This window comes from Homo sapiens, chromosome 14, assembly GCF_000001405.40.
Source record: "Homo sapiens chromosome 14, GRCh38.p14 Primary Assembly".
In the NCBI taxonomy this organism is placed as follows: Eukaryota; Metazoa; Chordata; class Mammalia; order Primates; family Hominidae; genus Homo; species Homo sapiens.
In genome coordinates this window covers 72,704,355-72,732,291 of record NC_000014.9, presented here as the reverse complement: position 1 = coordinate 72,732,291, position 27,937 = coordinate 72,704,355, and the positions used below count along the sequence as shown (strand labels likewise).

The 27,937-nt window shown below is 48.1% G+C and overlaps 1 protein-coding gene across 4 annotated transcripts in view, besides 1 other annotated feature; it reads left to right on the top strand.

Annotated features, from left to right (window-relative positions):
• Nucleotides 1-27,937, top strand: part of DPF3 (double PHD fingers 3) — a 285,068-nt gene that overhangs the window by 161,810 nt on the left and 95,321 nt on the right. For all 4 annotated transcript variants that reach the window (NM_001280542.3, NM_012074.5, NM_001280543.2 and 1 more), the window contains 3 exons: nucleotides 358-485; nucleotides 8,564-8,659; nucleotides 17,791-17,869. In NM_001280542.3, coding sequence (NP_001267471.1) covers nucleotides 358-485; nucleotides 8,564-8,659; nucleotides 17,791-17,869 — 303 coding nt within the window. The remainder of the gene's footprint in view (nucleotides 1-357; nucleotides 486-8,563; nucleotides 8,660-17,790; nucleotides 17,870-27,937) is intronic.
• Nucleotides 23,928-24,428: an enhancer, noted in NCBI's record as "H3K4me1 hESC enhancer chr14:73174572-73175072 (GRCh37/hg19 assembly coordinates)". NCBI's record gives its function as "activates a minimal SCP1, AML or CMV promoter by ChIP-STARR-seq in naive H9 embryonic stem cells {active_cell/tissue: H9 hESC(naive)}" and the evidence as "EXISTENCE:reporter gene assay evidence [ECO:0000049][PMID:30033119]".

The window sequence follows — 27,937 nt, the reverse complement described above, 5'->3', positions numbered from 1 at the left end:
TTGTTACCCCTGCTTTGTGGATGCAATAAGGGCTCCACGCTCCTGACGCCTGCCTTGTCCGATGTCATGGCTGGAGAGGCAGAAGCATGGCCGTGTGAGCCCACATCTACCCCGCACCCTTTCTGCTCTGGCTCAGCTTCCTCTGGGGGTGTGGGCATGGTCGGAATCTGTCTCTGGATTATGAAATGGAGATGGAAAAGCTGGACAGGGCTCCAGTGTTCCTCTCCCTCCAGGAGGAGAGAGCACAGGCCCCGAGTCCTCCTCAGGAGCCCTGGGCCCTGCGTGTCCTCCAGGACTGTCCCTCCTGCCCTGCCTGCTTCTAGTGGCCTGACCTGCCTTTCTATCTTTGTTTTTCAGAAGTGGAGCTTCCCCTGAAGAAGGATGGGTTCACCTCAGAGAGCACCACGCTGGAAGCCTTGCTCCGTGGCGAGGGGGTTGAGAAGAAGGTGGATGCCAGGGAGGAGGAAAGCATCCAGGAAATACAGGTATTCCCACACCTGCTGGGGACCCCACAGAGTGTTCCTGTCACCATAGCGCTTCCAGAACTCCAGCACCGGCTTGGCTCCAGATCCTCCCCTCAAGGGCCGGGGCTCAGTCTCAGACTGCCTTGTTTCTATGGTGGCCAGGAAGCTCCCAAATTCTTTTCTGACTTAACCTATCTTCCGAAGGAGTCATTATTGCCTTCACCTCGGTTCCCTTCCCTCTCTTCTGTCTGTCTATGCAAAGTGAATTTGTTGAGCCTAGTGAACACAGGGACTGTGCAGGGTCCCAGGGACACAGAGTGGACAAAACAGTCTGAATCCTTGTCCCCATGGAACCAAGAGTCCATTGTCTAGGCTTGAAACGTGGGAGCGTCTGCTCCAGCTACGGCCACGTGAGTCCGGCTTGCCCACCCCCCACCCTCACACCCAGCCTCACCGGTCCCCATGACTGCACACTCCGTTTCCCAGCAGTGCCCAGCCATCCCTCAAGCCCATGCCGTCCTCACCCTTCAGGCGGATGGCTGCTCTGTCCCCATGGGTCCACTACCCTCTATCCATGCCACTTCTAAAACTCTCACTGAATAGGATTATAAGGGTGCACACCTACCGTTTCTTTTTCTTTTTCTTTTTCTTTTTTTGAGACAGAGTCTCGCTCTGTCACCCAGGCTGGAGTGCAGTGGCATGATCTCGATCTCGGCTCACTGCAAACTCTGCCTCCCGGGTTCAAGTGATTCTTGTGTCTCAGCCTACCGAGTAGCTGGGATTACAGGCATGTGCCACCATCTGGCTGTTTTTTGTATTTTTAGTAGAGATGGGGTTTCACCATATTGGCCAGGCTGGTCTCAAACTCCTGACCTCAAGTGATCGCCTGCCTCAGCCTCCCAGAGTGCTGGGATTACAGGCGTGAGTCACTGCACCTGACTTCACACCTACCATCTCTTATTTGTTATTTGTCTGGAATCCTCATTGTCTAATACAATGTTTGCCATTGAGTATTGTAATATGAATTGATCCTATTATGAAATAATAGCATTGGTAGTTAATATTAAATTATTAAAATTAAATTGTATTTCTATTAAATTTATATTACATATTAAATGTTTATATTTTATGCTATACCTATTGTGCATATTTAATATTCAATAAATTTATTAATTTATATATTAATTTATTAAAACTACAATTAAATTAATAATAATGGAATAATACATTGCTGGTTGGCTTGGTAAGTTCCATCGATAGCCAGGGCCAATGCGGTCATGCTCACCAGTGTCCCCGGGGCCTTTCCCAAGCTGGGTAGAGTTGAGTCTCGATAAAGGCATTGAATGAATCACAGAATTTGGCCTTCTTCTCCGCCATTCCCGTGTTAAGATGAATTGTCAAATCTTTTCCATTGAGTTGCCACAACATGGCTTGTGTTTGTTCCCTCCTCTCTTTTCCACGAGCTGCAGCCCTAGTGAAGATCCTCATTAACTGTCACCTTTATTTGTCTAAGGGACCTTGGGGTCATATTTGACTCCTGCTTGTCTCTCACACCTGACATCCTGCTCATCAGGAGCCTTGTCGACTGTGCCTTCAACATAAGCCCAGTTCTCCCGCATCCCCTCTCCCCGCACCCACCACTGCTACCCTGGCCCAAGCTGCTCTCATCTTTTGTGTGAACTGCTGCGGTTGTCTTCTCAGTGGTCTCCCTGATAGTGCTTGAGGGGCAGTCTTTAAAAAAAAATATTTTTTAACAGCAGTTTTAGGTTCACAGCAAAATGAAGAGGATGGTACAGAGATTTCCTGTGTACCCCTGGTATAGCCTCCCCCATGATCAACATCCTCCACTAGAGTGGTGCATTTGCTATAATAGATGAGCTGCACTGACTCATCATTATCACCCAATGTTCAAAGTCTGCATGACGGTTCACTCTTGGCGTTGTGCATTCAATGGGTTTGAACAAATGTGTAATGGCATCTGTCCACTCTTACGGTATCATACAGAAGTTTCACTGCCCTAAAAATCCTCTGAGCTCCACCTGTTCATCCCTCCCTCCGTCCTAATGCCTGGCAACCACTGGCCGTTTCCCCGTCTCCATAGTTTTGCCTCTTCCAGGATGTCATATACTTGGACTCACAGTATGTTGCCTTTTCAGATTGGCTTCTCTGATTTAGTAACATTCATTTAAGGTTCCTTCATGTCTTTTCATGGCCAGATAGCTCATTTCTTTTTAATGCTGAATAATATTCTGTTGTCTAGATACACCACAGGAGAGGGAGCTTTTTAAAATTTAAGTCTATTCTTATCATTTCTGTGCTCAGAACCCGCTACCGCCCCTGCTATCTGAGAGTGAAATTCAGGGCCTTCTCACCCCTCTCTGACTCCACTCTTCCTCTTTTCCTCACCCACTCCACTCCAGGCACAAGAATCTCCTTCTGTTCCTCCCAGAACATGCCAGGCCTGTCCCAGACCTCAGGCCTTTGCCCTGGCCATTTCCCCGGATGTACACTTGTCTCTCACCCTCACCTTCTTCATTTTTTAATTTTTATTTTTTATTATTTATGAATTTATTTATTTTTGAGACAGAGTCTCGCTGTGTCGCCCAGGCTGGAGTGAAGTGGTGCAATCTCGGCTCGCTGCAACCTCTGCCTACTGGGTTCAAGTGATTCTCCTGTCTCAGCCTCCTGAGTAGCTGGGATTATAGTTGCGCACCACCACCTCTGGCTGATTTTTGTATTTTTAGTAGAGACGCGGATTCACCATGTTTGCCAGGCTGGTCTCGAACTCCTGACTGCAGGTGATCTACCCACTTCGGCCTCCCAAAGTGCTGGGATTACAGGCATGAGCCACGGTGCCTGGCCTTCCTCTTCTCTCAAAGATGTCCCTGACCGTGCCGTACTTCATCTCACACCCTTGCCCTGACTGCCCCTGCCTCCCGATTCCACTCTGCTTTTCTTGTTCTTTTCCATCACTCTTATCATCATCTAATGTACTTTCTAATTTACTTACTTATTATGTTATTGTTTATTGTCTGTTTTCTTCCAGTAGAATGTAAACTCCTCGAGGGCAGGATCCGTTGCCAGTTTTGCTTGCTTATATCTCATAAGCACCCAAACAGTGCTTGGTGCTTACCAGGTGCAACATAAATATTTGTTGAATGGACACATGAGGGAACAGATTCCAGGAATCGCCCTGTCCCCAGTTCTTCCCGTCTCTGACATGTCCTACTTTGCTAGCTGTCCTTTTGTTCTAGAGCAAAACTCTGCTAAAAAACTGTTGTTTCCCACTAAATAAATCGAAAAGGATGAGCGTGACCTTCCTGGGCGTGTCCTCTCCATTCCTAACCTAGTTTTCAGGCTTATTTTCCACTACTCCTTTCGCCGCTCTGTTCTTCAGCCTTCTTCCCTCCATGCCATTGGTCCCGCTGTGCCCTTTATCTGGCATGCCTTTTCTTCCATCTCCATGTGTACAAATCTCACTCATCTTTTAGACTCAACCCCAGTGCCACCTTCCCCATCAAGCCTTTCTTGATCTCCCCTCCAGCCAGAGGGATCTCTTCTTGCCTTTGGTGTTTAAGCCACCTACTGCTTTCTTCCTTGTGTGTGTGTATGTGACTTTCAGATTTTGAAGTCAAGGTCTGTCATCTCTGTGTTACTTGCTAGAGTATTTTTTTGCTTAGTTCATGTAATTTGACAGAATCAATGCATGGGGCAGAGCCACTGCCCAGAGCCTTGATGCTCTGGGTATGTGGGTCCCTTTCCCTTTAAAGCTGGTGGTGGGCTTGAGTTCTTCTCATGCAGCACTGGGCTGGTGCTGTATTGTCGTCATCATGTCACCATCATCTCCTATGTAAACTGAAGGTCTGCTGAGTGCAGCGCATGGGTCTGCTGTCTACTGTGCTAGAAGACAAAGCCAGGACCATAAGTCAAATGAGTTTACGTGTTTTTATTGACTTTGCATTATTAAAATACACATGTAGCGAATGGATTATGCTTTTTCATTCATTCATTCATTTGACCAAAGTTTCATGAGGGCTTCCTCTGTGCAGGCACTGTGCTGGGTGCTAGGGACACAGAGACCAAGAGATACCTATCCTCTCTACTCATATTCGAATGTGACACACAGGCAGGAAACAAGGAATACAAATAAAATAAGTGCATTTTAGGATAAAATCCATGAGAACAAACAGTATGAAGATTCAGCATCAGAGTAGAGTTCCTGAGGAAGATGAGGGATTTTTTTTTTTTTTTTGAGATGGAGTCTCGCCTCGTCACCCAGGCTGGAGTGCAATGGTACAATCTCAGCTGACTGCAGCCTCCACCTCCCAGGTTCAAACGATTCTCCTGCCTCAGCCTTCTGAGTAGCTGGGATTACAGGTGCCCACCACCACGCCCAACTATTTTTTGTGTTTTTAGTAGAAACGGGGTTTCACCACATTGGCCAGGCTCGTCTCGAACTCCTAACCTCGTGATCCGCCTGCCTCGGCCTCCCAAAGTGCTGGGATTACAGGCGTGAGCCACCGCATCTGGTCGAGTTGAGGGATTTAACCTCAACCCTATGGGATGAGAAGAGTCAGGAAAGTGATGGTCCTGGGGAAGAGCTTTCTGGGCAGAGGAGCAGTGGGTGTGATGGCCCCAAGACAGGTCAGAGCTGGTTTTGTTGAGAGAACAGAAGACCTGTGTGGCCGGAGTATTGTGCCAGGGAAAAAAGAGCCCAGGAGTTTGACAGGTGGGCCGAGACCAGACCACCTAGTTCCCACAGGACAGGGAAGTGGCTTTTGGTTCCATGTGATATAAAGAAGGAAGCCATTTGGAAGATTTTGATCAGGGCCGTGAATTTGTATTTCATAAAGATCCTGTTGCCTGCTGCATGGAGAGGAGATTGGATGTGGGGCCAGCAATGGAAGGAGGGAAATCAGGAGATTTTTGCAGTATTCCAGGCCAGAGATAATGTAGTCTTTAAAAAGGATTTTTTTTTTTTAAACACAACCACAAACCGCTGTTATCACCATAAAGACTGTTTAGAGTAACAGGGAGAAAAGTTATTTTAAAATGTGTTTATTTTCCAGATAATGTCCTTGGACAAGGAATGCATGTCTGTTACTGGGGGGTCAGCTGACTTTGTAGTTGGACACCCCACCCCCGTCGGCGACTCCTGATGCAGGACTCCCCCTCCGCTTCCTGAGGTCTGAAACAAGCTTTGTTTGTTAGAAACTCCTGGCTCCTCCTGAATTATGTCGAGAGGCTTCTGGTGTCAGGGCCGCATCGCAGGAAATGCAGACACACTGGGTCTGCCGCCATCACATCTGAGGCCCAGGGCATAGACAGAGGCTTTAGAGTCACAGGGAAGCTGATGGGCAGAGGGAGGATGGAGCCTCAGGGAGAAGAGAAGTCAGTTTACTCCCAGATATGGAGGCCATGTGACACTCTGGGGACTAGCTCAGCTGCCTCTACCAGTCTTTCACCTTCCAACCCAGAGTCCATATTGCGGGTAATAAATACCCTTATAATGAAAAATGAGAGTCGGAGTTGTACTGAGATGCCAGAGGCTATGACCTTTAAATTCGAGGCACTTGGAACTTACCATGATTAAGTGACTTCAAGACCTGGAAAGTTTGCAAGATGGTTCTACGAACAGCAACAACAGTCATAACCAGACCTTATATTTATACTATGTCTTTGCCCCAAAGGCTGCAGAGCATTTGACCTGTCACTGTCTCAGTCGGCTTTTGCTAGTGTTCCCACCTACAGGTCAGGAACTCAAGAGACTTATACTGTGAATGGGGGCTGACGTTTCCTAGTTATGGGCCAGAGGTCATGTCCAGCAGACAATGCTTCTTCTCTGTTAGATGGTTAAGGCTGGCTCAGAGACCCTTTAAGTGCTGTCAGCTGGTGGATTCCCAAATAAACCTAGTAGAAAAGGCAAAGAAGAATTTACTAGACCTGTTTTGAGTTCTTTGGATGGATTGGGTGACTAGAAGTGTCCTGATCCCTGTGATTTAGAGCAGAACATTCTAGCCAGGGGCAGTGGTGGAAGATCACTGCCTGGTGGCTCACCCCGGGCTTCCTGCTTTGAGGACAGGCCAGAGGTGTCATCCAGGAGGCGGCTTAAACAGCGATGGTTATCAGACAACAGTGCAGTGTGTGCCACTGTCTCAGCCTTCTCAACATATTTGTGATCTTTGACCCATCACCACAAGGAAGAGGAGATGGGGTTACCCTGTGTAGTATGGTACTTGTTCCCCTTACTAGCTCCATCTTATGCCATCTCTCCTTGAGCCACTAAGCACTGGTCACACTGGCCTTTCTGCTCCTTGGACAAGCCGTGTTCCTCTCCCTGCCTCAGGGAGTTTGCTTATGCTGTTTCCTCTGCCTAGAACCTTTTCCCTCCCTCCCCTCTGTCCTCATTCACAAGGCCAGTCTTTGCTCATCCTCCACATCTCAACTTCTCAGCTCATGTTCTCATGTAGGCCTCCCCTGGCCCTTGGATTAGGGAAAACTCCCTCCTAACACCCTCTCATAGCACTTTGAACTTGCCTACCACTGTTTTGAGAAGAGTTGTAATTATATGGTGACATATGCACATTGTTTAAATCTGTTCTCCCTTTCCTAGACTGGAAAGTCCATTTGGGGCTGGGACTGTAGCCATTTTGCAGCTTGCCTAGCATGGAGCCTGCCACGTAGTCAGCACTAGATAAATGTTTGTAGATGGAATGAATGAATTCCTATTGTATAATTGGGGAAACTGAAGGATGAAGAGATGATGACTTGCCCTAGATCACACAGTGAGCCCATAAAGAAACCCCCAGGTGGCCAGGTGTGGTAGCTCATCTGCATGGTATGCCTGTAATCCTAGCACTTTGGGAGGCTGGGGTGGGAGGATCACTTGAGACCAGGTGTTCGAGGTCAGCCCGGGCAACATAGTGAGACCCCCATCTCTACAAAAAATAAATTAGCCAGGCATGGTGGCATGTGCCTGCAGTCCCAGCTACTTGGCAGGCTGAGGTGGGAGGATCGCTTAGGCCTGGGAGGTTGAGGCTGCATTGAGCCGTGATTGTGCCACTGCACTCCAGCCTGGGCAATAAAGTGAGTCCCTGTCTCAGAAAAAAAAAAAAACAAACAAAAACCCCTCTGGGCCCCCTGACATGGAGCCCAGTGAGCTCCATGCCCCTTCCCTCTTTTCCTACTCCCATTGTGGGGCTGGGTCCTCTGCTACAGTCTTTTATCCCTCCCTTAAGCCCAGAGGAACACATCCTACCTCCTTCCTTCCTCTAAAGGGAGTGACGTGCTTAGGCCCCTACATGGAGAGTATGCCAGATTACATCTGGAATTCTCAGCCACTGTGCTGAGAAATGAATGGGGAACCCTGAGCCGATGAACCTGACCTTGCTTTGGTCATGGCTTCACTGGATGATCTGGAGCACTCAAAACTGTTTTCAGCCTCAGCGTATTCACCTGCAAAATGGAAATTGGATTCTATGTTGCAATGTGACTGGCGGGCTGCTGGAGAGAGATAATTTAAAATTCATTATCTTTAAGCTCCATGACAAGTCGGGTACTAAATGAAAGTCTATTTTTCTTAAAAAAAAAAAAAAGAAAAAAAAGCAGTGGCTTATTATGAACAGCACATTCGTGTTAAATCTGGTCAGATGAACAGGAAGTTACTTGCTTTCATCAGACAGGGCAGGGTTCCAGAATGGCAGGGAAAGGAGAAACATTTTCATATTTCTGAGGTGGCCCTTTGGGAGCAAAAAGAAACATTACATTTACAAAAGTAAACATTTTGGCCCCACATAGAAAAGGGCCCCTACCAGCATAGTCTCTTGTTAGAAAACTCTTCTTGGGCAAAAAGAATGGAAAAAGGTCAGTGTTCTGGGAGGACTTGTCTGGAAGGGGCCCAAGGGCTTAGGAGAGCCTCGGTAGTGCCAAGAGTTCAAACTCCAGACAGCATTTCAGAGGGCCCAACTGCCCAAGCAAAGGCAGCGTCTTCACTTTGTTAAAAAATAACAACAAATCAGAACACCCTTAAAATTACTCTCTGATGGTTTTTCCCTTTGCATTTCGTTTCTCACCTTTTCTATTTTTTTTTTTCATTTCAGAGGGTTTTGGAAAATGATGAAAATGTAGAAGAAGGGAATGAAGAAGAGGATTTGGAAGAGGATATTCCCAAGCGAAAGAACAGGACTAGAGGACGGGTAAGTTGGGGATGACATGAGCGAGGAAAGAGATGAGGGAGGCTGGGGTGCCCGGCCAACGATTGATCTCCACTGCAGCTAGATGGAAATCATGGCCATGGTCTTACATGGAGAACGCTCAAAGGAGAAAACTCCAGAAGAGCTCTGATCCCAGGTCGTAGCCTGGAAGAGTTCAGAGCTGGCAAGAGGGAGGAGAGGAGGCAGAGGGGGTACCCTGAGTGGGTGGTGAGGTCTGGGGAGGGCTGAAGGGTGGGATCAGGGTGAGGGTGGAAGATAAGGAGAATGTGCCTGTTGTCACCACTGCTTGGTTACTAAAGAAGGCTGGACATTTCCTGCCTTGTCCCTGGTGCTGTGCCAGAATGACAGAGTCAGGGTACCTGCTTTTGGGGTACATGGTCACAGGAAGGGGAACATCACACACTGGGGCCTGTTGTGAGATAGGGGCTGGGGGGAGGGATAGCATTAGGAGATATACCTAATATTAAATTACGAGTTAATAGGTGCAGCACACCAACATGGCACATGTATGCATATGTAACTAACCCGTACATTGTGCACATGTACCCTAAAACTTAAAGTATAATAAAAAAAATAAATAAACCATAATCATGACTATAAAAAAAAAAAGAAGTTTGCCGGGGTAGCAGGGGGCTGCAGCTGGTGGCTCCCAGTGGGTTTGGCATGAGCTCTGGAGGCTTGAGACCATCCCAGGGGTCCTCGGATGGGACAAGGAAAAAGCCAGAGCCTGGGGAAGGGCAGAGGGGAAAAAACCCAGGTGGAAGGAATAAAAACAAGAGACTGGTCAGGCACTTCCAGGCATTCAGGTTGAATCTAGAGTTCACGCCCGAAGGGGCTTTCTGTGGTGGCCGTCTGGGGTCTGCAAGGGCATGTGACAATAACCAGGTGGAGAGGGACCTCCAGAAGTAAACTGCTGCTGTCCACCTGGAAAATGGACTCTCAGGCTTGAGAATCTCACCCCTTCAGGCTCTAGGCGGGACTCTTACCCCTCCCACGGATAAGCACTTAGTCCCAGGCATTCTGTGGGTTTGCTGCCAATGATAACCATGGCAGGGCTCTCCACTCTTGTGGTTCTCATGCCTCAGCAGACATTAGGATCACTGAGAGAGCTTATTGAATGCAGATTCCCAGGACCCCACTCAGAAATTCTGCTTTAGGAGCTCTGGGGCAGGGCTTTATACTATATTAGAAGCAAGTTCCCAGGCGGCCGCTGCACATCGGCCAGCGCGGCACACACTGAGCTGAGATGCTCCAGCCTGTCGCATGTGGGGCTGTGCAGCCTGTGCAGGGGCTGGGCGGGCAGCTCTCTGATGGTGCACTTCTGGTACAGCTGGGACCAGCCTCATCACTTAGCAAGATTTTGGCTATCTTGGCTCGTCTCTTCTTTTCTCCTACTTTTTGTTGATTTGTGTTTGTTTGATTTTTTTTCTGGAGTATTTGAAAACAAGTTCTAGACATCTTATCATTTAACTGACACATATCTCAGTGTGTGTCTTTAACAGATATCATTATCATATCCAATAAAATAATAGTTATAATACCTACTATCTAGTCCCTTATCATTTCCCCTTTTGTCAAAAAATGCCATTTTATAGTTGGTTTGTTTGAAACTGAAGTCTCCCGGATTCCACAGCATACCTCTTCTGTATTCTCTTCTGTATTGCACCCCACCACACACATTTTTTTTTCTCCATGCCATTAATTTGTTGAAGAATTTGGGTTGTTTGTCTTGTGGAACTTCTCACATTCTAGAAGTGGTGGGAGGGTGGTATTTAATGTCTTTCTCCATCCTCTGTGTTTCCTGAAAACTGGTAGTTTGATTAGAAACTTGCTTAGATTCAAGGTGTGTGCTTGTGTGTGTGTGTGTTTGTGTATGTGTGTACAAACATTTCTTGTGGGGAGGTAAGAATCCTTCCTAGGTGGTGATAGGTTCTTCTCGTATCACATCAGGGGCATACCCTGTCCAGTTCTGCTTTGGGTGGTGTTTTAATTGATCAGTAGATTTGAGTGTTGTCAGCCTGATCTCTCCCTTATACAGTTCCTCATCAAGTTTTTACTTAATGATTTTTGCAGCCATTGATAAACTGGCCTAGACCCATTCACGGAGGGGAGGGTATTAAAAAGAAAATTGAATTCCATTATTAAAGGAGACTTTTGAGCTTGGACTTCCTGGGCCTTTGGTGAACTCCCAAAGAGCTGTGCATGTCCAGACCCACTTGCTTTCCTTCTCTCACCCCAACCAAACTGATGCAAGTGTGGGAAATGGTCCTCTTCACACCTCTCCCCAACCTACATTTAGAAGATTGAGCTTGCAGTCAGTGGATATGAATTGGGTGTCTGTGAAAACATCAGCAGTCAGTGCAACCATGTATATTTACTGTGTACTTCCTGTAAACCAGGCAATGTGATGGGCTCTGTATAACAAGAGCTACCACATAGAGAGTGATGCCTTTGTGCCAGGTGCTTTAGACTCCTATCTCTATTTCTGCACTGTGCATTATGGCAGCTGCTGGCCACATGTGGCTACTGAGTCCTCAAAATGTGTCTAGTCCTAATGGAAATGTGCTGTAAATATAAAATAAATATGAAATTTTGAAGACTTAGTATGAAAAAGGAATGCAGAACATCTCATTCTTAATTTTTATATTAAATTATAAAACTATCATATTTTGGATATATTGTTAAATAAAATATATTATTAAAATTAATTGCACCTATCTATTTTTTTAAAAAAAATGTGCTGCTGGAAATTTTAAAATGATGAGTGTGGCTCACATTGTATTTCTATTGGTCAGAACTTCTTTCATTTCCACAAGCTGGTACTATTGCTCCCAGGGGGGTTAAGCAATTTGTTCAAGGTCACTCAGCCTAGTAAGGAAGAGGCTAAGATTTGAACACAGGTCTGTGCTTTCTCCTCTGAGTTCATGCCTGGCCCAGGGCCCAGCATATAGCCAATGATTAGCTTGTCGAATGAATGATTGAATGATGGAAAAGAGAAAGAAAAGTCGTATTTCAGCTGTAGGGGAGATGAGAGACACCTGAACACAGTGAGGGGGCTGGATGGAGCCTAGACTGGCTCTGGGCCCACCAGATACTGGCCAAGCAGCAGCTGAATGGTTCCATGTTGTACAGTGATACTGTGGACATGTTACCCATGCACGGAGCCATGGAAGGACCCAGAAGGCTGTGGGCAAGCCTCCTGTGCTGGGGTGTGTGAAGCTGCTGCACTCACAGCCTCAGTTCAGCTGTTTTGCCCATGCTTTATTTTTTATAATTATTATGTTTTAGAGATGGGGGCCTCACTCTGTTGCTCAGGCTGATCTGGAACTCCTGGCCTCAAGCGATCCTCTTGTCCGGGTCTCCCAAAGTGCTGGGATTACAGGCATGAGCCACCATACCCAGCTCATTGCCCACCATTTAAAGTGGTATATTCCAGCTGCTGCTGGCACTGGAGAACAACTATGCCCATTTGTCTTGTCAGAACCTAGAGGCAGTCTAAGTCTTGACACCTCTGTGTGTGGTCTCTGGATGGTGGCATTAATATCATCTGGGAGCTCATTAGGAATGCAGAAGCCCAGACTCCACACTAGATTAATGAGAATTAGAGTCTGCACTTTGACAAGCCCCCAGGTGCTTTGTGTGCTCACTGAGGAGGCCAGGGCTAAGGTAGGGATTACAGAATAGGCTCTGCTTTATTTGAACTTAGACCTTGCAAGTTCAAATTCCAGCTCTACCACTTACTACACGTTGGATGAATTATGTAACCTCTGTGATGGTGGGCAAATTGTATAAGTACCCTGGGCCTCAGTTTCTTCATCAGTAAGTTTTGAGTGCTTCATACTGCCTAGATATTATCAGGAGGGGGCAAGCAAAGGGAATAACTCTTGGAATTTTGATAATGGGTATTCTCTGAGTGGTGAGGGGAGCCCAACAATTAATAATTGTGTCTTTGGTAACTTCAGCCCAAGAAGTCAAAGCTCTTTAAAATTCATGAGATTCTTGTGAGTCATCCATGTGAGTATTACCAATTAATCAATTATCAATCAATCATGAAGTATTTATTTATGTACTGTGGTGTTCAGGTGCCTCTCAAACTTTATGTGCATATGGAGCACCTGAGGATTTTGTTAAAATACAAATTCTGATGCAGTAAGTCCATGGGGTGGGGGCTGAGCTCCTGCCTTTTTAATAAGCTCCCAAGTGATGCTGGAGCTGCTGGTGTCAGGACCACACTTTAAATAGCAAGGGTGTAGGCTGGGTGCGGTGGCTCACAACTGTAATCCCAGCACTTTGGGAAGCCGAGGTGGGAGGATGGTTTGAGCCCAGGAGTTTGAGACCAGCCTGCGGGCAACATGGTGAGAACTCATCTCTGAAAAAATTAGCCAGGCAGAGCGGTGTGCACCTCTGGTTACAGCTACTTGGGAGGCTGAGGTGGGAGGATCACTGGAGCCTGAGTGGTTAAGGCTTCATTGAGCTGTGATTGTGCTACTGCACTCCAGCCCTAGTGACAGAGTGAGACCCCATCTCAAAAAAAAAAAAAAAAAAGGCCTGGCACGGTGGCTCACACCTGTAATCCCAGCACTTTGGGAGGCCAAGGCGGGTGGATCACGAGGTCAGGAGATTGAGACCATCCTGGCTAACAGTGTGAAACCCCGTCTCTACTAAAAATATGAAAAATTAGCTGGGCATGCCGGCATGCACCTGTAATCCCAGCTACTCAGGGGGCTGAGGCGGAGAATCACTTGAACCCGGGAGGCGGAGGCGGAGGTTGCAGTGAGCCGAGATTGAGCCACTGCACTCCAGCCTGCATGACAGAGTGACTCCGTCTCAAAAAAAAAAAAAATAGCAAGGGTGTAGAGCAGTGGTTCTCAATTTTTTTGATCTCAGGAATTCCTTACACTGAGAGCCCCCAAAGGCTGTTATTCAGGTTATAACCAGTAATATTCATACCACTAATGATATTTGCCATTTTAGAAATTAAAAAGGTTGTCTCTCTGAACCTATTGTGGTTTAAGAGGTAGCCCAGTAAAAAAGATTTACAAGAAAAATAAAACAAATTTTAAACTAGAGAATACACACACAGTGACAGCATCGTCACGTGTCATGTCGCCTCTGGAAGACTCCACTGGATGCCTGTGAGAGCGTGAGAGTGAACAAGGCAGATCACGTTTTAGGACTCCTATGAAAATAGTTCAGACACTGCAGAGTCCCTGAAAGGACACTCAGGGATCCCCCAGGATTCCTGGGCCACACTGTTTGAGAACAACTGGTATAGAAGATCTAGCTCTCTGCTTGGGACCGAGTCTGTCCTAGTCAAGGGTCTTTCAGCTTCAATAAAAATGGGAAGGATTTGAAAAGCTGCCAGGCCACTGCCCCAAATTTGAGCAACCTTTGAAGATCCAAACCACAGGAAGAGCAGGAACATGGCAGGGACTTAGCATTGGGAAACAGGAACCCAGGTGGTTTCTGGCCTCTACTTCTCCCTCCTTCATTCTTCCTGCTTCCATGTGTACATGGCCCCATAAGGCTCCTGAATGTATGGGCCCTCAGTTCAAGTGGCCTATACTAGCTAGGGTCACTGTTTTCTAATTCCAAACCCCTTGGAGGTAGGATCTGATTGGCCCAGCTTGAATCAGGTGACTACTCCCGAGCCAGCCAATCAACTGTGGCCAGTGGGACAGGGCCATGTGGTACACTCATGGCTGCCATGGCCCAGCAGTGTGGGAATACTGGTAGAGAGGAATGAAGTAGGGTGGGCAGTTCTTGGGGAAGAAGGATTGGCTTCCTTTGGCTGGTCACCTTCAAAGCTTTCTATAACAGAGCCTGGAGACCTAGGTCCTGCTCCTTCTGCTGGCCCTGGGACTGTGGACAGGTGAGAACCTGCTTCATCAAGGGCCAGCTAGGAATCATAACACTGCTTGGTCTAACTCATAGGGTTATTGTAGGAATTAACTGAGTTACTATATGCAAAAGAGCTTTGCACGCTATGTGCTAAGTGTTAGGGGGTCATAATAAAGTATAGAATGCCATTTTTGCCCTCAAGGACCTTCGAATCAAACTGGGAAGAAGATGCTAATACCCATGATACCATTAGAAACAGCAGGCACCTGACTGTGCACTAACCAAAGGCAACAGGAGTTCAGAGGAGAGAGATCAGCCTAGGCAAGGAGGGGGGAAATGATGTGTTGAGTGCTTCCTGTGGACTTAGTGCTGTCCCCTGTGGTTTCACACACTCTCAGCTCAAACTCTCTCAACAGCTCTGCTATATAGGTGTTGGTGTGCTCATTTTACAGTTGAGAAAACTAAAAGTTAGAGAAGTAACTTGCCCAAGACACATAGCTGGTGTTTCAACCTGTGTCTATCTGACTTTAAGCGGATGCTCTTTTCACTCCTTAGTGTGGCAAGAGGAAGATTCTTGGAGGAGTGGAGGTTAGCAAGGGCAAAGCCTGGATCAGATGTGCATGGGCAGAGGAGAGCACAATCATGGGGTGAACCCGAGGGGATCAGCACTAGGTTGCCACTGGCTGTGTAAGTGGGTTGTAGATGGCAATGAATGAATGAACGTGTGAATGCGTGAACCTATGACCATGGGCTCCTGTCTTTCATCCCTTTGTCTAATGGTCTGAAAGTCCCTTGGGATGGACTAGGGGGGCAGTGTGGAGGTAGATCCCCCGTTAGGGTGGACTAGGGGGGCAATGTGGAGGTAGATCCCCCTTAGTGGGTTCTTTGAACAGCTCAGGGGTCAGTCGATGAGCTCCTGGATTAGGGTGTGCAATGGAAAGGAAATGCAAAGCCTAGATGGCCTTTGGAGGAAGAAGCAATAACATTTGGATACAGAGAATGAAGGAGAAGAACCAGAGATGACTGACTCGCTGCCTGCCTGATTGATTCATCCATTTGGCGAATGTTTATTAAGTGCTTCTTATGTGGCTGGCCCTGTGCCAGGTTCTGAGACTAGTGGGGGCCAAAATAAACATGGTCTCCACCATGTTTGTCTCTCCATGTAGGGGAGACAAAATCAACTTGTAAACCAACACAGGTATAATCTAATGCCAGACAGCGCTCAGTGCCATGATGAAATGGGAGGGGAAAGAAAACAATGGAGAGGGTGTGAGTGGATGTAAGTTGGTCAGGGAGGGCTTCTCTGAGGAGGTGACATTTGAGAAGGCCAAGTAGGATTCTGAGTTTCCAAACCTGAGATCTTCTAAGAGACCCTAAGAGTGCTGCTGCCTCAGGAAGAGTCCCTTGCATGTCCCCTGAAGTGCCCTATAGACACGATCCCCATTTTGCAATTGAGGAAACTGAGGCAAAGCGAGTGTGGCACAGAGTCACTCTGCTGGTCAGCCCTGCTGTAGGAGATGAAAACCTGGCTCCCACAGCACCCTCCCTTTCCTGCTGGCAGCTCCCCCAGAAGCCCTCGTACATCCAGTTCTGCTCGACTCCTCCCCTTCCCCATGGAGGTATTTTTAGTCTCCCAGAGCCCCTTCCCCAGTCTGCTGTTGCCTCGTCATTCTGCTTGACTTGCTTTCACCTGCTCAGAGGCGGCTGTGACAGGGCTGCAGGCTACATGTCAAGCTGTCCCTGGCTTCACAGAGGGGTGTGGAGGGGGAGGGCAGCTGAGGGTGACCACCCTCGGCAGTGCGGGCAGGCAGGAGGCCTGTCAGTGCCCGGGGTGACTGCCAGCACCTACAGATCCTTCTTGGGGTCAACTCTGAGTAATGAGGGCGAGGGGAGGAGGGCTGCTGGCTGTCAGCGCTGCAGGGGTGGGGTGGGGAGGGAGACTGGTGGGAGGGAGGGAGGAAGTGGAATTTGTTTTGGAGAGAGACAAGCTGAGGAGGTGGCAGAGGTGGTAGCTTGGCAGGTGGTGTTGATTGGGAAGTGGGTGTGTTTTCTGAGTGGGTGTGTTGCAGGCCTAGGGTACAGGCCTTTCCACTGTGAAGTCCCCGGTGAGTGTGTACATGGAGTGTGTGTGTGCACAGAGTGTGAGTGTGTGTGTGAGAGTATCCAAGGCCTTTCCACCATCAAGTCCCCATGGCCACTTTTCCAAGCCAGGCCCCAGGGGCTGCCCCATTTCCCCTGCACCCCAGGCTGCTGCCAGGTCTTATTCCTCACCTGCTGCCCCTTCCTCTCTGTCCCCAAAGACCCCGACAGGCCCTTTCCTTGGTTGGGAGTTGACTGCTACTCATTACCAAAGAATGACCTGGAGAGGCGAGGGTGCTATACACGTGACCAGTGTGGGACTTACAAAGGTTTAAAAATAAACCTCGCTGTGTTCTTGTCACCACCGCCCTGGGGCTGCAGAGCTGCCAGCAACCTCTCTGACTGGGCTCTTTGATTCTTGAAGGTAGAGCTCATTCCACCGCCACCCTGGGAGATTCACACAGGGTGGTGGTATCAGAAGTCCAGCCCAGGAGACCATGGGGGTCAAGGTCTTCGTCACTGGCTGAAGGCCCAAGGCAGACCACACAGGGAGGCCTTAGCCAAAGCCCACCCCTACTGAGTAGGCCAAGCATGGGCTGGTGGCGGGAGCTCCCCTGTAGCTACACTCGTGCACTGGGCCTGGATGTCAGGACTGTCTGGCTCTTGCGACACTGCGGGGATGGACACAGAAGCCTAGCCTTGCCCCCGTCAGGCCTTGCTCCTGATACGTGCATCAGCTGGTCTGCTGAGGGGCCTGGGGTTGTCAACCTCAGCTGTGTCAGTGAAGCTAGGAGGCTAAGGAGCAGGAGGAAGCGGCCTCAGTGGCACGGTAGTGTGTGGGAATTTGGTAGAGGAGGGCTTTTCAGTACAGCTGCCCTGAGTAGCCGAACGACCTTGGGCAAGCTACTTAACCTCTCTATGGCTTCAGTCCTTTGGTTTGTAAAATGGGGACCCTAGTAGAAACCACCTCTTGGAGTTGTGAACATTTAATGAGGTGATACAGGTGAGCAACTGAGTGATTTGGGGGCATGTCTCCTGACCTCTCTGGGCCTCAGTTTCCTCCCCTGTAAGATGGGACTGGTGTTGGCACAAAAGTTGGGATGAAGACGGTGTAAGGAGCTCGCAGAGCGCATGCTCCGGAGCTGTAGTGATGACCATGGTAACAAGCATCCTGTACCCCAATGTCTCCCCAGGCTCGCGGCTCTGCAGGGGGCAGGAGGAGGCACGACGCCGCCTCTCAGGAAGACCACGACAAACCTTACGTCTGTGACAGTAAGTATGGGCCGGTCCCACCTTCCTTCCTCCCTGTGCGCCTGCCCCCAGGGCCCCTCTTCCCTGTGCTTCCTTGGCCATCCGCCTGCCAACCTCAGTGTGTGCTCTCCTCTTCCTCTGTCTGCACCCCAGCTTACTCGCCTGCCGCCTCCACCGCAGTCACCACTTCCTTGGGCCTCTGCTGCCCCAGGGGGTTTCTGCAGAGGGGAAGCCAGCTGGGGTGGCCCCCACCCTCAGTTCTGCACCCCCACCTCCTGCCATGCCTCCTGTGTGGCTCTCCTCCGGCTCTCTCTCTCACGCGCTCTGTCTCCTTTAAGATTCATCCTCTATTTCTTTCTGTATTTCAGAGAGTTACAAACAAAAGCATAACTCAAAACCCTCCGACAAAGGTACTTGGCTCGCCATGGCTTTTCATTTGTTTCCCTTTAATTTCCTTTCCCTCTTCCTCTCCTGTCCTAGGTAGGGCAAGTTATGAATCTTTCTATGACGATGACTTACTTTAATAAATGGCCCTCAATCTATCTCCAGCCTTTCTTGCTTGCTTCAGAAACATCTTTTGGACAAGCGACTGCCTGGCTGGCTCCTGAGTTTAGGGCGTGCAGACAGAGCTAGGGAGCCCACGGGAGGGGAGTCGCAGGGAGCCAGGGCAGTGGGTGGACCTCGGGAAACCTGCAGCTTGATGAGGGAGGTGGTCAGCTCCAGACAGCAGAGCACTGGGAGGCAGATTGAAAACCTGTGCCCTAGTCATCTTCTCACTGTACCGGGTACCATTTGCTCATTCTATGGGAGGGCAGCCCTCACCACCACACTCCTAATGATCTTCACTTGCCGTCTTCTCCTCTCTGAGGATGCAGAGCTTCGCCATAGGAGGGAAGAGGCTGCAGCGAGGATGGCAGTGAAACAGTCGAGGCTGGACCCTGGCACGGGTCTCCCTCTGGGTGTCCCACCCATCTCGCCAGGGTCTGCAGTCTCCCTGAAGGCAGGGAGAGAGCTGGCAAGGCGGGGTAGGGGTGGGGCCCAGGGAGCACCCTGGGGGTGGTGTCTTTTGTCTCCCCCTTCACTGGCCTCTTTTGATTTCAAAAAGTTGTTCTGTGTCCAATGGGGTGACAGCTGGTTGGAGAACATTTTGCTAGAAGAACTCAAACTCCATGACTCCCATTTGGCTGCTTAATACTCCATGCAGATGCCATTCCTGAGATGACTCCTGCAGGTAACGTCTCCACCCCAAAGCAGTTCTAGTCCAGGATGAGGAAGGAGCAGGGCATGGGGTCTGATGCCTTTTGGCAGCACCAGGAGGTGCCTGCCTTGGCCTGGGTCTTGCTTCCTACATGGCGTTCAGTTTCACTCTGATACATAGAAGCCCCAGCATGCTGACCCTTGAGAGACTGGCTGTAAGCCATGGGCTGGGAAGGGCCCTCAGACCGTCTTGGGCTTTCTAGCTGTGTTTGGCTTGACCAGCACATCTATCAAGAATGCCAACAACTGCTTTGGAACTGGGGCATTGCTACTATATTCTTCGTTTATTCATTTTTATTTATTTAATTTTTTAAGAGACGCTCTTGCGTTGTCACCCAGGCTGGAGTACAGTGGTGCAATCATAGGATTATAGCTCACTACAGCCTTGACCTCCTGGACTCAAGCCATCCTCCTGCCTCAGCATACGCAGTAGCTAGGACTACAGGCCCATGCCACTATGCTTGGCTAAGTTTTTAAAATTTTCTGTAGAGATGGGGTCTTGCCCAGGCTGGTCTTGAACTCCTGGTTTCAAGTGATCCTCCTGCCTCAGCCTCCCAAAGTGCTGGGATTACAGGTGTGAGCCACTGCACCCAGCCATTTGTTCCTCTTTTAAAATGCTTTATCTTCGTATGTAATTGTCTGCTACTATAGACCGTGGGATCCCTTTTTGCTCTATCTCTGCAGCTTTCATTGGATTCCCAGCCCATCATAATCCCATGGACTCCCAGACACACACACCTGTGTGCCCTTTTCTCTGACTTCATCCCCTCCCAGTTCCTCTCCTCCCACCTTTGCCTCTGACTTCTGCCTCCTTGTGGATCATCTCCATGAAGTGCTGTTTGTGGGCATCCCTCTCTTACTGGGCACCCCTCTTTCTGCAAAGTGCTTGCATCACACACTGTCTCCTGAGTCCCCATGGCTTTGTTTCGGGACTCTCAGTGACGTTTGCTTCTCTCGATGCCCTCCCCGCAGGCTCTCTCCCACCTTCTGTGTGCCCTGTAGTGCCTGGGAGGCCTGACGGCAGGCTTTCTGGAAGTCTCAGCGGCTGCTTTCTTGGCTCTGTCCGCATGCGTGCTGCCTCCTCTCCCTCTCTCGGTGGAGCAGGGGCCACCGTCGATTGCCCTTCTCTGTTCTGGCTCTCTTTGGAAATTGTGTGGCAGCTCGGTGATTAATAGACTTTATTTTTATCTGGTGCCCTTCAGACATGTGATCCTTTGGGATAGAAATGACCTTTGGAGAGGTCACAAGGCCCACCCCCACCACCCCCAAACTGGGCAAGGAGTGCTTTTAATAATCTCTAATGCATCCTAAGTAGAGAGGTGTCTGGCCACCTCCTCGAGCGTCCCTAGGGATGGTGTTACCATAAGCTGCCCTTTCTTCCATGATGCCAGCTGTGCTTCGAATGAGTGTTTTTCCTTAATAGGAGCTGAAGATTTTCTCTCCTACAGGTCCCCTTGTCGTTTGCGCATCTTTCCCCTACGAATAGGCACATTAGGGCTTTGTCCGTCTGGGAGACCTTCTGAACATCCCATATATTCTTGGTTGACTTAGGGCCCCACCCCATAGTCTCTATGGCACCCTGCTTGGAATTCCCTTCCAGGTCTACACTTAAGCATGGCACTCCTAAGAAGTAGCATCAAGTCCAGGTGGCTCAAAGAGCAGCGGACATATCTCCTTACTTATGCCCTGTCCACCCTCTCAACAGCTTACTAGTCGGAGCCTGTCCCAGCCTCGGTGTCGATGCCTCTCCAGGTGCATGCTCTTTTCTACTTATGCGTTTGATTATTCCTTCTTCCATAAATCAGTCTGCATTTGGTCCCATTGAGTCTCAATAAACAGATCCAATAATATGTGACTTCAATATACAAGATTCAATAAAGGCAAATTTAAAGACATTGCCCAGTAGTTAAATTTCATTCTCCACAGATTTGCCGTCCCTGCCATTTTTGTATCATCTATGGTGTGATTTGCATAATTCCCACTCCATCTTTCAAGTTATTTATGAAAATATTAGATCACCTTGGACCCCAACCCCTTTCTGGGTTTATGTGTAGTGGTAATAAGCTATATTCTGATGTGATTTATTTAACCCTTCCTGGAATGCATTCCTGAATATAGTGGTCCTGTGTGTTCTTGCTCCAAGCTTCCTTTGCAAAATGGGTGGCTTGAATATTATTGTAGCTGCTAACTGCAGGTGATAGAGAGTTTGCTTGATGCCTTTTACTCAGTCATTGAATTTCTTCCGTCTCAGAGAAATGTTAAATCACCTGAACATGATTTATGTTTTACCCAATCCATGGTGTATGGATGTATGAATACTTTGTTTTCCAGCAAGTAACCAGTCTCTTTTAATTACCTTGAAAGTTTACCAAGCTTAAGGGTTAAAGTTCTGTTTCTTCCCTTTTAATCTCTTGCTTAAGGAAAAGTGTTTCTTATGCACAAAAAAAGCAACTGAATAGGACATTGTGGAAAAGTCTGTTGGTGTTTGTGAAAGTGTAGGCCCGGACCAGCTGCACAGCAATGCCTAGACGCTTCTTAGAATTCAGACTCCTGGGCTCCACATCAGACCTCCGGTATCAGAATCACTGGAGGGAAGGCCAAGGGGCCTGCATTTTCTGAGCGCTCTTCAGGGGATTCTTGTGTATACTGGCTTTTGACAGTGACAAGTCTACTTCATTTAAACATGAAGGCTTCTGGCTCCTGACTGCTCAGCTCTTATTATTTTCTGCTTTTTGCATCTGGACATTCTGGAGTCTCCAGGAATTCTCCAGGCAGGTTGCCACTGGCTTGCATCAGTGTTTTAGTTGGTCTCCTTAGAATCTATTCTTTCCATTTATTTCACATTGATATACAACTCAGCTATCCAGCGCTTGATTTTTAATTCACTTAATCGCTTTAAATCCTAGCAGTATCCTTAGCCCCATTTTGTAGGCAGGATGATAACTGGGGACAGGCAGGTGGAAGGAATCCTTGGGTTTGGGCTGCTAGAAAGTTTTAAAAGTCATTTCAAGAGTTTGCCTCTTCTCTTCCTAATTGCTCCCAAGCCCGAATTTTTCTGTTAGCGTCATTGGAGCAGACTCCTGATGAGAGACCCACTTTTCCATTTTCTTTGTTCAAGAAACATCATAGCAAAGAAGTTGGTGATGACGTTGTGATATTCAGGGAGAACATTTTGTCTCTAAGCATTAGCCATGCAGGGAGGAGCAAAGCAGGCATATGCCCTTTTGCTAGACACAAGGGAAGCAGTGTAGGAAGTTTTCTTTTTTCCTCGAAGTGTTTTCTGAATCATGGTCTTAATTCCTGTGAGTAGGTGCTTAGGGTGTGTAGAGCGCTAGGCTAAGTGTTTCACATGGATTATTTCTGTAAACCCCCACACCAACCTGGAGAGGCAGGGACAGTTGACCTCACTTTACCGTGAAGAAACTGAGGCTCAGAGAGGTGTAGGGCCTTGTCCATGGTCACACAGCTGGGATCTAGGATGCGAACAGTGGGATATGATCCCAGCGTCCTCAACTCTAGAACCGCCATACCCTAGGACATCTTCCATACTAACTGCCCCTTACATATGCTCTCCTACCCTGGAGTTTCATTCTCTTGAAGGCTGCGGAAAAAGCATTTTCAAAGTTAATTAATGAGAACGCACAACTTACTTATGAGGTGAAGCCCTGGCCGCTGTCGATGGGCAATTTCTAGGCATCAGGCGGGCAGGCTGGAGTCAGGTAGTAGTTACAATTGAAGTAGGATGGAAGGAATTATATGATTTCCAGTCTTTTAAATTTAAATCTATTAAAATCACTGCCCCCCAACTACGGCATTAGGCTAGATTAGTGACAAAAGGCAAATAGACATGGCTAAAGCCCTCCTAGAAGCATGACTCACTCCTGAGTCACGTCAGGTGTCACACACCAGGAGCGGGCCCTCTCAAGGCCACCTCTGTCTCAGCAAAGTCTCTGTTCTCTACCACCTCCACCCTACAGATGTGCGTCTTCAGCTGTGTGGCCGCTTCACCCTGTTGCCTCCCTTCTAGAAACCCAGTCGGGGAGTGTGTTGCCACACCCAGTGGGGGTAGTATCAGAATAGGGTCTAGGGTCTCTTCCCGTTCTAAAGTCTCTTGTTTCTTGGCAGTGGTGTACTTCAGAGAGAAGGGTATCAGGCTGATGGGAGGAGCAGGCTGGACGTTTAGTCCTGGTTCTACACCTCAGTTGCTATGGCACTGGTTTCCTCCTTTGTCCGTGAGGGGATGGCTCCTCCTTTGGGCCTCCGGACTGCCCTGATCAGCACTCCTTCCCCACACAGTGGCGCCTTTCTTCCCAGGCAGCAGCTTAACAATGATGCTCTTTACTAGGGAGGCAAGATGTCTGGAGGACATGAAGGGAGCAGTGGATTGGGGAATACCACGGGAAACTGTGCCACAGGCCAAGAGGTGCGATGGGATGGGTGGATCTGCTGACTGGACAGACAAAAGCTTGAGCCCAAGGCAGTCCCAGAAAATCTGCTTGACCTCAACCTCTTTCAAACTACCCTGGTTTTACCCCTACCTGAGTGCAGCAGGGAGAGTTAGATGACTCTTGCAGTTTTGCTAAGAAAAAAATTTTTTTGAGGGCATTAAGGCACATATTCTTTAAGGCTCACGTGCTTTTCGCTTCAAGCTGCAGTGGAAAAGCCAATAACGCGGCCTTCAGGCTCACTGCCTTTGTCGCGGAAGGGAAGCTGGGCTCATCACTCAGTTGTCTTGCAGGTCCTTGGATGGGGGTAGGATCGGGGAGGGGAGGAAAGGCTCGGTGCCCCCAGAAACTTGATTTGTGGAGCGGGGCTTGTGGCATGGGATTGATCCCTGGAGACTGAGTGCGCCGTTCCAGCAAAGCTGGGTCTGTTTAAATATTTAAATGCCATTGTGTCATGGACACAGGTTGCAGGTGTTCCGGCAGGACTGGCCAGAGGCAGGGCTGGGGAGAGGGTGAAGTTTCTCTTTGCTGTCCCTAGACCCTCCTGTCTCTGCCTCCTCTCCTCCAGGGCTCGCATCTTGGCATTTGACCTTCTAACCTACACCTGCCTTCTCTGGGCTGTGACCCACACCCTCTGGAGTTATTTTCTATTCAGTCACAACCTTGCTCTCCACTAACTGTTTCTTGATGCACACTTCATGACAATTCCTATTTCTGTGTAGATGACCCATAATAGGGTAGATATTAACCATTGTAGAGGTGCTTTTCATTATTTTTTTAAAATAACTTTTTCTATGGAAATAGTATTTGTTCATTGCAGAATAATCAGGAATTACAGATACGCAAAGCAGAGGTTGCAGTGAGCTGAGCTTGCGCCATTGCACTCCAGCCTGGATGACAGAGCAAAACGCAGTCTCAAAAAAAAAAAAATAGAGGAAAAAACAAAAATGACCCATAATCTCACTCCTTGGAGATAATTTTTTGCTGTATTTGTTTTGCTGTATTCCATTCTAGGATTAATTCTGTCTCTGTCTATACACACATACACACACACACACACACACGCACACAGAAGACGACTAAGAAATGATACGTACCATTTTAACGCCCCGCTGCCCCACTCAGTGATACATCAGGAACATCTTTCTGTGTCAATAAATAGATTTTATGACATAGTTTTTAGGGCTATATAGTGTTCCATTATGCAGATGTGCCACAGCTTATGGACATGTCTCGTAATTTGCTCAATGTTCTACTGTTAGATGTTTAGACAGTCTAATATCTGTTTACTATTAAAAGCACTGCCCCTGTAAACTAGTTCAACCACTGTGGAAGTCAGTGTGGTGATTCCTCAGGGATCTAGAACTAGAAATACCATTTGACCCAGCCATCCCATTACTGGGTATATACCCAAAGGACTATAAATCATGCTGCTATAAAGACACATGCACACGTATGTTTATTGCGGCACTATTCACAATAGCAAAGACTTGGAATCAACCCAAATGTCCAACAATGATAGACTGGATTAAGAAAATGTGGCACATGTACACCATGGAATACTATGCAGCCATAAAAAATGATGAGTTCATGTCCTTTGTAGGGACATGGATGAAATTGGAAACCATCATTCTCAGTAAACTATCGCAAGAACAAAAAACCAAACACCGCATATTCTCACTCATAGGTGGGAATTGAACAATGAGAACACATGGACACAGGAAGGGGAACATCACATTCTGGGGACTGTTGTGGGGTTGGGGGAGGGGGTAGGGATAGCTTTAGGAGATATACCTAATGCTAAATGACGAGTTAATGGGTGCAGCACACCAGCATGGCACATGTATACATATGTAACTAACCTGCACATTGTACACATGTACCCTAAAACTTAAAGTATAATAATAATAAAAGAAAAAAGAAAAAAAAAAGCACTGTTCCAGCTATACCTTTGCATAATGCTTTATTGTTTCCTAGAAGTACAGTTGTGAGGCTGCAGGGCCTGGTGCATGGCCTTTGATCTCTCTTATTTTGAGTCATGGTGGGGAGTATAGGAAAGCAAGGAGCCTGATGGGTCTGCCAGGTTGCAGAGAGCTGGGTGAAGCAGGATGTGCCCTGACTTTGGAGTGGTTCTGCTGCTTGTTATCTGTGACATCGAGAAAGTCATTTTGCTGTAGGAGTCTCCATGTCCTCCGGTGTATGGTGGGGATGGGGCACAGTGGGAAAGCTGACTGTGATGATGTATGTAAAAAGCTTTGCACGTGGCATGTGCTTGACAAAGGTTTCCCCCACCTTGGTCTTATTTTCTCTTTCTCCAATATGCTTGGAAGGAGAAAGGCTGATATTGTGCAGGAGATAGCACACTGCCGGGGCGGTATTTAATTGAGGGGACAGTGAGCACTGAAGGAACAGGGCAGGGAGTGGTCACACGAAGAGGGGCTGCTGTGTCAGAGAGTGCAGCCCCGGGATGCCAAGAAGGCCCTTAGGGCGCATGGATGGAATTGATATTGGCCCCCAGGGGTGGATGGGTGTGCCCAGGGGTAGGGGGAAGAGGTAATAATGATAATGCTGAAGTTTGTTGACTTATATTATAGACCTGGAATATTCTGTTGGCTTCATCTATATTAACTCTTTAACTCCCACAAAAGTGCTATGAAATGGATGCTTTGGTCATCTCTATCCTACAGATAAGGAAACTGGGGAGAGGAAGGGTTAATTAACTTTCCTGAGGTCACATAGTGAATAAATGCTAGAGCCAAGATTTGATCCCAGTCATTCATCTCTCTCTCTCTCTTTTTTTTTCTCTCTCTCATTCTCCTTCCCTCCCCCACCACACACACTATCACTGTCCCTTTCTGGAAGCTGCTGGTACCTTGTGCCTACCTCCTGGTAGGCTGCCTCCCACATTGTGTGATGACAGTTTGTTTCTCTGCTCCCTCAGGCTGGACTGTGAGCCTTCTGAGGGCAGGGCCCAGGCCAGAATCAACTTGCAGCCCAGCCCCAGCACAGTGGTGCTTCCAAACTGTTGATGAATGTCTGGAGAAGGGAATGTGGGATGTGCATACCAGGGAAGAAGAAGGCTCAGCTCGACTAACCCAGAGCATGTGGGTAGGGAGATTGGGGGCACAGAGTTAGACCAGGGTTGCTGGGAACATCAGGCTGAGGTGCTTAGAGCCACAGTACCCAAGTTTTTTGGCACCAGGGACTCATGGAAGAAAATTTTTCCACGGACCAGGGGCGGAGGGCAGGTTTTGGGATGATTTGAGCACATTACACTTATTGTGCCCTTTATTTCTATGATTATTACATTGTAATATATAATGAAATAATTATTCAGCTCACCATAATGTAGAGTCAGTGGGAGCTCTGAGCTGAGCTTGTTTTCCTGCAACTAGATGGTCCCATCTGGGGGTGATGGGAGACAGTGACAGATCATCAGGCATTAGATTCTCATAAGGAGTGTGCAACCTAGATCTCTTGCATGTGCAGTTTGCAGTAGGGTTTGTGCTCCTGTTAGAATCCAGTGTGACATCTAATCTGATCAGACAGAAGGTGGAGCTCAGGTGGTAATGCGAGTGATGAGGAGCAGCTGTAAATACAGATGAAGTTTCTCTTGCCTGCCCGCCACTCACATCCTGCTGTGCAGTCCAGGTGTCAGTCTATAGCCCGGGGGGTTGGGGACCCCTGGCTTAGAGGTTGGCCTGCATGGTCCGTGGTAATTCATGACAATCCTAGGGACATCTCTAGGAAGGTTGATCTGTAGGATTCGGTGTTCAGGGAGGAAAGCCTGAAGCCTGATGACCGAGAAGAGCCTTTTCTAGTCAGCTAGGAGAAGACATGAAATCTGGATGGTGGTGATAGCAGCAGTGAAATAGACGGGGCAGATGAAGAAGACTTAATGAAAGAGAAATTCACAGAACCCGGCAGATGATGGACAGGATGTGGAGAGCAGGAGAGGAGAGAGGGAGGTGGCAGTGATGACTCTTGACATCTTGCACTTGGGTCATTGAGACAAAAGGGGTAGCTTAACTGGAATATCCTAAAAGGGGAAGTAATTTTGGGAGTGTGATGAAACTGACATATGAGTTGGTGGAAATGGCAGGAATCCAGGCAGAAACGTCTTAACAGATGCTAATGGACAGTTGTTGTTTCCTCTAAGGCACTGAGGAGCTTACACTGACATTGTAGGTGGAAGAAGGCCTACCTCAGGCAGGGGGTGGGGAATCACACTGGATAGCCTGGAACTCACAAATAAAACCTGCTCAGCATTTGAGGCCGCACTGATGTCCTGGCATGGGAGGTGTACAGAGATATTGAGAGAGAGGATGCTAGCAGGATTCCCAGATGCCTGGGGGCTGCCTCAGCTTAGGGTAATCAGGTCTGATTT